The sequence below is a fragment of the Homo sapiens genome, chromosome 11, assembly GCF_000001405.40.
Source record: "Homo sapiens chromosome 11, GRCh38.p14 Primary Assembly".
Taxonomy (NCBI): Eukaryota; Metazoa; Chordata; class Mammalia; order Primates; family Hominidae; genus Homo; species Homo sapiens.
In genome coordinates this window covers 20921124-20933367 of record NC_000011.10, presented here as the reverse complement: position 1 = coordinate 20933367, position 12244 = coordinate 20921124, and the positions used below count along the sequence as shown (strand labels likewise).

General features: G+C 38.6%; 1 protein-coding gene and 1 long non-coding RNA gene across 5 annotated transcripts in view; one reads left to right on the top strand and one right to left on the bottom strand.

The window, feature by feature from the left end:
* NELL1 (neural EGFL like 1) overlaps positions 1-12244 on the bottom strand; it is a 906136-nt gene that overhangs the window by 642319 nt on the left and 251573 nt on the right. For all 4 annotated transcript variants that reach the window (NM_001288713.1, NM_201551.2, NM_001288714.1 and 1 more), the window contains 2 exons: positions 5926-6060; positions 4889-4991 (listed from right to left, as the gene is read on the bottom strand). In NM_001288713.1, the coding sequence (NP_001275642.1) occupies positions 4889-4991; positions 5926-6060 (238 nt within the window). The remainder of the gene's footprint in view (positions 1-4888; positions 4992-5925; positions 6061-12244) is intronic.
* Positions 6572-12244, top strand: part of LOC105376585 (uncharacterized) — a 46166-nt gene continuing 40493 nt past the window's right edge. Inside the window, exon 1 of the long non-coding RNA XR_931106.3 lies at positions 6572-6655. This is a non-coding gene — a long non-coding RNA (uncharacterized LOC105376585). The remainder of the gene's footprint in view (positions 6656-12244) is intronic.

Genomic DNA, 12244 nt, shown 5'->3' with positions numbered 1-12244 from the left:
TCTTGTTCAAAACCTGGCAATTTCTCCCTTACAGACGCTCTGTCCCTGATCCATTTGTCTCATGCAAAACAATACCTGTGGAGTATCTCTAATGTGCCAGCTCCTTTGGCTGTCACCCACATCCTTCCCTTCCTTTGCATCTTCCCAGGCTGTGCCTGCCTGCCAGCCTCAACACCTCCACCTGGAATATGCCCAAGTCCCATATCCCCCACCACCTCCAGCTCTCTTGATGCAGTAGCCTTTCTAAAAGCACATCTTTGATTATGCCACAACTCTGCATTAAAACCTTGATTGCAGTACCAAAACCAACACTGGTTTATTTCCATGATTTTGTGTATGCAATTCCCTCTGGCAGTTATGTTCTTACCTACTTTGTACACTTGGAAAACTCCTCTTCATTTGTCAATACCCCGCTCAGCTGTTACCTATGACGTTTTCCTAACACACACATACATATGTACATTTCAGATGGAGTTAATCACTCCCTTCTCTGTGTGACTTCTGTGTCTTCCATAGTGTTCATGTGAAATAATATTCTTTATTGTAACAGAGATCTCTCTGGAGAACAATGGTTAGAGCCAACAGGTCAAGAGCATCCCACTGGGTTCTGAAGCCAGACTGCCAGGGCTTTATTTTGGCTCCCCCAAAACTGGGAGACCTTGGACAAGTTACTTCTCCTCTCTGTTTCACCTCCTCATGTGTAAAATGGGGATAATAGCGGACCCTACCACTTAAAGTTGTTGGAAGAATTAAATGAATACATATAAAATGGTTAAACACAGTGCCTGTCAGAGTAAATGATCCATACGTGTCCACTGTTGCCCCCAGAACTGACAAAGTGTTTGGCAGAAGGACCTCGGTAGGGATTACTGAATGGCTTCATTGGGATACAATCTTCATCATCCATCCGCAACTCACGTTTGCAGCTCTATTTCAACCTCTCACCTACATAAATCCTGTGTTATCATCAAACACACTATTCCCCTTTCCCTCTTTCACTCTTATTCCTTCACACATACTGTTTTGCATAGAAGAAATATTTTTTTCTCCATCTTCCTCCCTCCTTCCTATCTCTGGTAGATCTCAAATCTGTCTACCAAAATAATACAGATTTCAGGATGTTGATGCCTGGAGATTGTGATTATGTAGGTCTAGGTGGAGCCCTGGAAACCTCCAAGTTTAAGAAGTTCACCAAAGGATTTTAATGTGCAAATAGGTATATTAAATATGCCTTGAATAGTGCAGACACCCAACAAGTGTTTGAGGAATGAAACTCCCTCACTATTTTCGGTACCGCCATGGATGCTTAGATAAATTTCTTCCCTATTTCCAAACAGACGCCCTCATCTGTAAGTGCTGCAGTTCCCAAGGCCAAGAGAAGTCCGTGAACACTCAGTGAGTGAGCAGACAACACAATCTGCTTTTACATATTGGCTCATTTTGCCTTTGTCATAGCCCTACCTTTACCTGGTGTCCCTAGAATACTACCCCACCTAAAGTCAGAGAGAAGCTTGGGAATTTTTCTTTAAATTCACATATAAGAAATTTACTTCAGGCAGCTCCACAAAAAAAATGAAAAAAAATCAAAATAAGGAACCAAACCAAGGAAAAACATGGTATTCAGGAAACAGTAGTTTCACTTATATCCCTCACAACATTAAATGTGAATGGATTAAATGATCCAATCCAAACAATACAATCCAGACTGTCAGACTGGATTAAAAAACAAGATTTGACTATAAGTTATTCATACAAGATACAATTTTTTCTTTGTCTTTTTTTATATTTTATTATTATTTTTTAACTGACAAAAGGTATGCATATTTACGGTCTACAGCATGATATTTTGAAATACGTAGGCACTGTGGTATGGCTAAGAACTAACTAACATATGCATTACCTCACATACTTATATTTAAAAGGGACAACCAAAGTAAATATACTCTACCATGTTTCTGATGTGAAGACATTGGAAACATCTAGAAATTCCACTGATTAGTGTTAGAACTCTGCTCTAGCAATCCTCATTCTCTTCTTCTCCACCCCACTGCTTAACCCACAAAAGTCAACTTCTAGAAGGTTCAAAATATTTAACTTGGCTCCATGTCCTCCGGGAAGCATCCCAGGCCTTCCCCCGGTATTCTCCCCCTCCCTCCCAGGCCATTCTTCTGTACTCCAACACATGCCTAATGTTAGTGCACTTACAGTTCCAGACACTGTAAACCACGTCTCTACCTTGAAAGTGAGCTCCTCTAAAGCAGGGAAGGATCCCTCATCATTATTCCAGGCATCAGTACTCAGTAATCACCTAATGCATATTTCTATTAAAAACTAGTGAGAAATGAAAGCCCTCCAGCCCAGAAGTTCTCAACCTTTTAATTACCAGAGGTGCCTTGTATCATTTCTTTTTAAGTTTGTCTAGAATAGTGTTTTAATAATTTATTTGTATTCCCACTTTATTAAACTCTGAACACATCAAACTACCAATCAGAGCTGTGAGAAAATTAGTGCTACCTAACTAAATTGCTATGAATTCCATGCAAAGGGAAAAAAAAAAAAAAAACTGATGTTTTAGTTAGTGTGTGTATCAACATTTTAATAAAATTGAGTTATTTTCTGAAATAATTTTAAAAACCTAAAACTATCAAACAAATTAGCACAAAGAAAAATGACCGTCCCACACACGTCTAGTGAGAGGGCAATTTAACTGTATGTATCCAGGGCCTTGAAAATGTTCATCTTTGGCCCAGTAATTCTGGCCTGAAGAATTCTATTTTCAGGAAATATAAAATACAAAAATATACAAAAATGTGTTTTCTATACAAAACATGTTATTTAAGCGTGCTTTATAATAGTGAAAAGTGGGAAACAATCTAGATATCAATGACTTGGGACTGGTTAAAAAAAAGTTATGCAACAGCCAAACAATGGGAAACAATGAAGCTCATGAAAATGACATTTATGCAGAAGTTTTTAAAACATAATAATATATTTAAGTGACAATGGCAAGTTAACAGACTAGAATAAAAAATTGCCCACACAATACAACCTCAACTGCACACAAAATGTAATTTTTCTTAAAAAAAGGACACATCCACTAAAATTTCAAGAGTGTTTCTAAGTGGAGCTATTATGGGTGAACTTTCCATCTTGATCTTTATGATTCTCTGTGTTTTCAAAATGTTAAGCCAAAAGCACAGTGCTTTTATAATTTTAAAAAAACGTCAAAAAGTTAAGACACAAACCTGCCGAAGGACTCATTACTTCCATGTCCAAACAACAACTTTCAAGAGATGGCATTCAGAGATCTATGCAGGAACTCTAAATAATAGACTAAAACATCTCACATTTTTTAATACATCCCTAATAGCCTTTTTTTTTTTTTCTTTTTTTTTTTTGAGACAGACTCACTCTGTTGCCCAGGCTGGAGTGCAGTGGCGCGATCTCAGCTCACTGCAACCTCTGCCTCCCGGGTTCAAGCAATTCTCCTGCCTCAGCCTCCAGAATAGCTGGAATTACAGGTGCCCACCACCACACCCAGCTAATTTTTGTATTTTTAGTAGAGACGGGATTTCGCCATGTTGGCCAGGCTGGTCTCAAACTCCTGACCTCAGGTGATCCGACGGCCTCGGCCTCCCAAAGTGCTGGGATTAGAAGCGTGAGCCACTGTGCTTGGCCCCTAATAGTTTTTCAACTTCTTCTGCTGAAGAATGTCAAGAATAAAAACAAATAATCTGTACCTACTAACAACTCTCTCCATCATGGGATCAAACTATAATTCAATATCCAGACACTTGAGCTGCCTATATTGCCAGACATGACTTCCAAAAGTTCTTGAAACAGAAATAAGAAAGTTCTTCTCTTTAGAGCAACTCCAAGTACATCCCCCAGAGCAATGGGTGCAGTGTGCCAACCATAAAAAAAAAAAAAAGGAAGATTACAAAGTTCCTTTTTGAAAAGTTCAACAATTATTTGGGCTGCTGCAACCCACTTTCACTGCTATTCCCACTTTCAGTGTCATAATAGGTGACATGCTGTTCCTGGCAGAATGATAGACCACTGTGCTTTGAAGGCTACTGACATTGGTGTGTTTCTTTTGGTAAATAAATGACCTTGAAAATTATCCATAGCACACATTTCTGACCAGAACTCTCCTTTTCTGTAGAGGACCATATGGACTGATAAAAAGGCTATGGGCTTTGTAGTCAACAGAACTAGTTTTCTGTCTCACCTCTGCCACTCACCAGCCTCATGATTTTCGTAAGCTAATATCCCTAAGCCTCAGCTTCCTGTAAAATAGGGATAATAATAATACCTCCCTAAAGAGTTGCTGTGAGAATTCACTAAGCTAGTAGATTTAAAGCATCCAGCACAGTATATGGAACATACCACATGTTCTAAACGACAGCTTCAGTATTTTAACTGAATTTCATCCGGAAGTTCCTAACAAAGGCCTCTTAATAAGAGGAGAATCTAGCCAAAACCTCAGAAAGCCAAAATACAGAATTTGGCCTTTAACTTGATCATTTAGAATGAGGGGACTAAAGCCTATGGAGCTTTGGAGTTGTAAATTCACAGATCAGCCTCACCCACTTGTTGGACAAGTGACTTAATCCCTGTGAACACACGTTCCTTCCACATAGAATGAAAGAAGAATAGTAATTACAGGTGATGTGAGGATTTAAAAAAAAAAATAGCCCATGTTAAGTGTCTGCCACATTGCAAGTGATTAAAATATTGTGGCTCTTCTTACCATATATTTAATGTTACATCAACTGCCAATGTTTCATTTCATCAATGTCAATCAGTTGAGTCCAGAAAAACAGGGAAAATAAATAAATAAATCTCAAAACACAGACAGCCAGTCTGACCCTCAGTCAGTACTTACGTCGGCAGACCTTACAGCACTGGCCAGCAATGTGCACTGGGAGGGAGTCTGGGGAGCAATTGAGAGGGGGACAGGACATCCTTCGGCATTCCACGGCACCACTCTGAGGAAGGAAGGACATGGAACATAATCTCAGAAGTATCCTTTGATAGCTCCTGTTGTGGAGATCATTGAAATCTCATCCCAGAAACCTCATCAGGGAAACAGAAGCAGTATTCGAATTCCCAGTCCACTCCAGGACCACAGATGAAGTGTTTTCTCCGGCCCGAATGACCTGTACCACCTCAATTACTTTTCTGAAATACATCACTGGTTTCATCCTACCTGCCCATGTGTGCTAACTAGATTATGCAGAAAACAAAAAGTCTATTTTTATAAGAACATAAATAACACATTTGCAGACTCTGTCAATCATTTCTGAGGCTCTAACAATCTGTTTTGTATTTTCCTAGACAAACAATGGCATTCTTCAGATATTTATCAAGTAATTTCAACTGGACAGGGTTTCCATACTAATTTTTGGAGGGGGATGTTGTAATTCACTGAAACAGATGAAGGGATATACAAATAATGGATATCCTCACACTGACAGTGAGTCAGGGAGGAAATGCCTTGCAATTATTTGAAACAGGTGATGGATACACTTTGCAAAAGACAATAAAAACATGTAGAAAATAATTAAACTCCCCTTTTAAAGTTATTCTGGTTGTGAATAAGGATAACCATTAGGTTGTTTGAAAATCAAAGGAGTCCCTTCTTTCCACTATATCCCAACCTTCAAACTCCAAACATTGCCTATTAAATCAAATTAGGGTGTGTTGGCAAGGGAAAGCAGATTTTAATTTCCAAGTATTCATATAAGACATGACACTCTTCCAGCATTGCTTCACAATTGCTCGTATGGCTAGTGGGTGCTAGGTAAAAACCTAACAATTCTCAGAGTTAATATTATTTATTAAAGAACCAGGTTACACTCTAATTATCAAACCTCTCCCCTTAAAACTGTTTTTACTGTATTTATTTACAAAGAGGCTTACTTTGCAAGTGCAGTTCCTGCAATGGTCACCATCTACCCAAGAGTCTTGATCTCGATAGAGCAGTCCACTCACTTGACAAGTCTTCTCACAATGACAGTTTTCCAATTGACTAAGTCTTGTCTCTGCATAATTTAGCTGCAAACAAGAGTTACTGAATGTAATTTCTGTAATTCAATTGCATCATCCTAACAAAGCTAATAGCAACAAGAAAAAAAATCCTTCTGAGAAGAGAAAAAAATGCTCAGAGCAGTTCACTGATTCTTAGCATTATCTGTTTTTTGTTTTTTTTATTTTTTTTACACAAGGTGGAATCACTCTAAATTGAAGAAATATTGGCTGTCATGGTCTAATGAATACCAAATGAGACATTAAACTGTAACTCAGGAACCTCATGGGTGTTCATAAATGTGTGTGCTTTCCATTCAAGCCCACACAAAAACACTCATAATGAATGTGTTCTCAAGGACTCATTATGATGTTTACAGGCGATCTAATCAGGAACTCCGAGGCACTTACATTTATCTCCCACTATCCTCTCTATGTTCTTCACACACTAACTAGAATGTCGTGGTTTACAAACTAGGAAGTCACTGCCTTCTGTCTGATGAAAAATTCTGGAGAGCTGGGGTCAGAAAAAAAGAAAAGTCGTAAGCGGATCCCCCAAACAGAATGCCCCAGGAATTCACTTTTGTGCTTAGAAGAAGGACAGGAAAAGTAACCAAAACCCCAGGTAAGATCAGAATTTTGTAAAATAACCTTTTTTATTTTTCTAGGCCACCCAGTCATTGCCAATAATCACAGAGTCTTAGACTCTCCTGCTGGAAAGGGATTATAAAGCTTGAATATCCTCACAAGAAACCTCAAGTGATTATCTAGCCTTTGTACATCTCCAGTGGAGGAACATGTATTATCTTCCAAGGAAAGCCACTTTTCTCAGTTAGCTCTCTTGTTTGAAACATTTTTCATGGTTTTGGCTGTGAAATCTTTCTTTTTTTCCTGCCATACCTAGGTTTTCATTGTAATCCATCCTGAGCAAACCTAATCTTCAAGCATTTGAGGTTATCCTGTCGTCTTGACCACACTTGGCACCACCAGGTTCCCTTAACAGCTCCTCATGATATGATTCCAAGCCTCTCTTCTGATCACTTTTCATACAGCCTACTCCAGTTTACCTTCAAAAATATGGTGCAAAAAAACCCTAAATACAGCACTTTGATATGATCTGTCTACTGTCACATCCACACGAAAGAGTAACTCAACCTAGTAGTGATATTACTCTTCCTTTCCTTTCCCTTACATAGAGACCACCATGATTGAAAAACAAGTATCGTTTCCTAGAAAATTATCTGAGTTTCTCTTTTCCTTCTCAATCATGTTTATCCTTTCATGTCTTAAGTACTTTCCCCATACAGGAGATCAATTCAACCTTTGATCTAACTAAGATTATTTTGAGCCACTATTTTAGACATAATAGATAAACCTAGGGAATGACTTCCACCATCTTTCTACATTAACTATGGTTCCATTTCATACACCTTCCTCTGACTTACTCATACCAGAACTACTCTCTGGAAATGGAATCCACATGTAATTCTAACCTTTGTTTTTGTCATTTATTTCATCCTCTTCCTCCAAGCTTTTGGAATTTCTCAAGAAAATTTACCCCTTGTCTGCCTTTTGTGGGTGGTAGCAAAGGGTAGAAAAAACAAAAAATAGGATCTTAGACCAACCACCATGCACCATGAGCAGCCCCTAAAGAACTAAGAGTTGACGCTGCCTGAAATATTAGCTTCCTATCACTCCTTCTAATATGCATGATCTTCTAAAAATCCATGTTTCATTTAAAACTCCAGCCTAGGTCAAGTGCAGTGACTCACACCTATAATCCCAGCACTTTGGGAGGCCAAGACGAGCAGATGACCCAAGGTCAGGAGTTTGAGACCAACCCAGCCAACATGGCGAAACCCTGTCTCCACTACAAATACAAAAAAAAAAAAAAAAAAAGCCGGGTGTGGTAGCGGGTACCACCAGCTACTCTGGAGGCTGAGACATGAGAATCTCTTGAACCTGGGAGGCAGAGGTTGCAGCAGGCCAAGATCATGCCAGTGCACTCCAGCCTGGGCAACAGAGCGATACTCCATCTCAATAAATAAATAAATTAATACAACAAAACTCCAGCCTAATCATAGAGTTTATAGAATCTATGATAATTAAGTTATTTGGCAATGCTTTAGGAAACGGATAAAATACACTGCTGAGTTTGGTGATACTCTTGGACACTGAGGGATGATGGCATATGGTTTGGCCACTTGCAGATACCAAAATCTGAAAATCTTCAAGTCCTTTATATAAAATAGTATAGTTTGCATATAACGTATGCACATCCTCCTATACACTTTAAGTCATCTCTAGATAACTTATAATAAGTAATACAATGTCTAAACATCAATTCATTCACATGGATTCAATGCAGTACTCGGTACATGGAAAATTCAAGTTTTACTCTCTGTAACTTTTTGGAATTTTTTTCTGAGTATTGTTGGTCCATGGTTGGTTGAATCCACAGATGTGGAACCTCAATAGAAAGAAAGTAACAACTTATCACTTATCTTTACTTCATTTCCATAGCCCCAGTAGTTCCTACACAAGGCAGTAACAGATATATGACCTTGGATTGAACAACAGAGTTGAACCAGATCTGCATTCCTCCTAAAAGGGTCTCAGAATTGTGTACCTTTGTGAGAGGACCCATACGTGCCTTACTCTGAAAATCTGGAACAATTCTGGTGTCTATATCACTCCAAGAAGGGAACTTCTTAAGGACTAAATGGCCCAAAAGGCAACTCTATATCTATCTGAGCTTTCTTAAAATCCAGGAGCTTGCCTAAGGGAAATAGTGGCAATTTCTAGCACTGTCCCACAAAGCTGAGCTGTGCTCACCTACAAAACTCAATTCCAAAGAAAATGTCAGTTTTAATATAATGAATGCTATTCTCAAGGCTGATTTTGTTTCCCTTCTGAATGTGGTTTTTATTTTTAATATTTGTAGCCTTTTCTGACAACATTGAGAAGTCCTATTGTCTGTAATAATAAGAGCACACCAAATAGACACAAAGGCAAAGGGATGTTAAGGCAAAAAGCTAATTTTTCAAAGAACTTCATGTAACCTCTTGCCTTCCCTTTTACTCCTGCTAAATCCTAAAACGGCAATAAAGGAGACAAACAACTGTGAATCAAAAAATGAATTGCATTTTCTGTCACTGGTATTAGCATGCTGAATTTATACACATTCATTTTCAAAAGCTATTTCTATACTACCTGACACTTTCTCTAAGATTGTCTGCAGATTCGAAATAGATACGGTATCACATCTACATCTCTATTCTGTCTACCTCTTGTTTATGCATTTATCTAAGCAACCATGGACCAAATCATTTATTCTGAACTCTACATAATGAAAGATAGACAGCAGAGGCCTTTTTTATCATCAGAGGTCAATGAACAGATCTAAGTACATTAGTTGTGTGGTGGATTGCTTCTTTTCTTTGAAATACCATTTACTTGGCATTTGCTATATGAAAGGAAAAAAGAAGCTTCTATTGTTAAACATTTAAGCTTAATCAAAAAATCATTATTGAATTCCTCAAAACAATGAAAGTCTCAAAATTAAAGATGTCACAAGCTTAAATGCCACTCCAAGTGTCGCTTGATTTGCATACATAGATTTGTCAAATATTTAAACAGAAGTAATCAAGAAAGTCCCAGTCTTCAGTATCTCTTCTTTCTGAGATTGAAGTCAGAATGGGATTACAGTGCAGTTGGGATCTGATAGCAGGACAGAGTCTGACCCTATCACAATGTTCCCAGCAGGTAGGTAGTTCCCACAATGTCAAAACCACCTGAGAGAACCTTGAGAGTAAGCCAGGGGAGTGGCTGATGCTTGTAGATCACTAAGGGAAATGTAGGAGGACAAAAAAGGTTTATTACTTGAGGTAGCAGCCCCATCTCTTCTCTGCCTTAAAAAAAGTATAGTTTTGCCAAAATGCCAGAATTCCTCAAGAGAGCTCTTATCTACCCTGACCTCTGTCACCTGAATGTGAGTGCAGGCTGCTCCCATGATCAAGCAAGGGCACAGTCACTTGCCAGCATGCCTAACCCTAAAAGGAGAAAAGGATCAATGAGCTCTCCTACACAGACCCCTGGGCTGATCTGGTATCTACATCTGTTTGGTTCTGACTTTGACTACCAATTCCTCTCTAGCTTATACACGGAGCTTCTTCTCTGGAAGGGCTCCAGGGTTTCCACCTCGACCCAAGAGGAAGGACTTCCTGCTGTTTTCCAGGACTCCTAGACTAGGGTCTTGACAGCAATGCACAGGCTCTACCAGACTTTGTGATTTCAAGTCACTGGGGAAGATGTGCATTTTCTTAAGGACCATTTTCTCTAAGGAACCATCATCCCACCATGGTTGTCTATATTTTCTAGGTTTAAGAGTATAAACAGCAGCAGCCACCACCTATTGAATGACATTTGTGTGCCGTGCAACAAACCTCATTTGCCTGGGCTCACGGAATCTTTACAAGAGCAGGAATAATTGTCACCATTTTACATATGGGGAAACAGATGCTGAAACAAGTCGAATAACTTACTCAAAGCTATAAATATCCAAGGAAATTATAAAATAGTGACTCAGAATCATATCAGCCTGACTTTAAAGCCCATTCTCTATCTCCACTATGACCTATATGACTGTCTACCCATCTTAATCGGAACTGCTGGACAACTCAAATCAAAACTCCAAAAATTACCTCCAGCCCTATTAACTGAATTCTGCCACAATCGGCCTATTTAATTAAAAATAAAGACTGGGCCCAGATAAATTTAGTGCCATAGAATTCTTTTTGCATCTGCGAACCATATTCAACTTCAAGTTTGCCTGACATTTCCAGACTCCATCTCCTTCCACCTGCCAAAAAAGTGAGTTACATTTTCGCCTCCACCAAGACGGCAGACTACATACCCTGAAGGACTTCACCAACTGAACCAACTAAACTGCTGTATTCAATATATAAATAAAAACTTTTGAAAATTGTCACAGAGCTAATACAAAAGGAAGAAACAAAGTCACAGAGGCCAAAACAAAGTGACTGCAGGGATCCCAGGAAATAAGTGAGCACCAAAGACAACAACATCCTGAAGATTTTTGATGCAATGTAGAGCCCCTGAGCTTCCACCCTGATGGTTGCACAGGGTATAGGGGGACAGAGTTGGGGAAAAGTATCTTCCCAAGATGGGTACCTTAAAGCAAACCCCTATATAAAGATTTGGCCTAACATGAGATACCCTCAGTGTTAGAGTGAACAAAAAGAAGGAGGCTTGCTCAAGGCACAGAAAGAAAACTTTCATGTTCAGACCTTGGCACCAGCTAGAAGGAAAAAAAAATCTTCCTTGAAAATCCTTAAAGAATCCTTTCCTGAGACTTCACCTGGCCTTTCCTAGGTGTAGCAGTCTGATTCTGAGCAATCTGGTTTGAAAATACTTAAGTAAATAATGTCAAATAATTTTCACTATTTCCAAGGAAAACAAGCAGCTCATAGCCAAAAGCGTGCATTAAGAGACACTGTTCTTAAAAAAAAAAAAAAAACACACACAATAAAAAAGAGACCTTGCTCTTGCCATAACCTTCTTCTTTGAAAAGTTACTACAAGTTCTATGTTCACACATTTCATTCCAAACAGGTATGATCTGAAAACTTTAGTTCAGCTCAATAAAATGATCAAACATTCATTTCTCTTTTCCTTTCTTTTTTATTTGCTCTTTCTTGGTAATATCTCCATCCTCCTGCCAGTGGATGGTGAGGGTTAGAAAGAGTAATATTACTCCCTATTTATAGCTTTTATCTCTCTTCTTAACCCTTTCTTGTCAAACCATGAACTTTCTCAGCCATGATTCAACTTTCAGGATCTAACTACCTGAGTTTAGGTCCCAGCTCTGCCATCTACTCTCTTAGGAAAAGTTATCAGACCTTCCTGGACCTCAGTCATCTCATCTGTAAAGCAGACTAATGAATTAAAGCAAGCTCAAAGGATTGTGGTAAAGATTAAAGTGACAGGGGATATAAAAGCTTAAGCATTTTAACTAATACATAGTAAATGCTTGTATTACTGACTTTTCCATTTCTTTTAGATCAATGGTTGACAAACTAAGGCCAGTGGACCAAATCTGGCCCTCTACTTACTTTTGTATGTCCTATAAGCTAAGAATGGTTCTTATAGTTTTCAATAGTTATAATTTAAATTATTATACTTAAATGAACTAA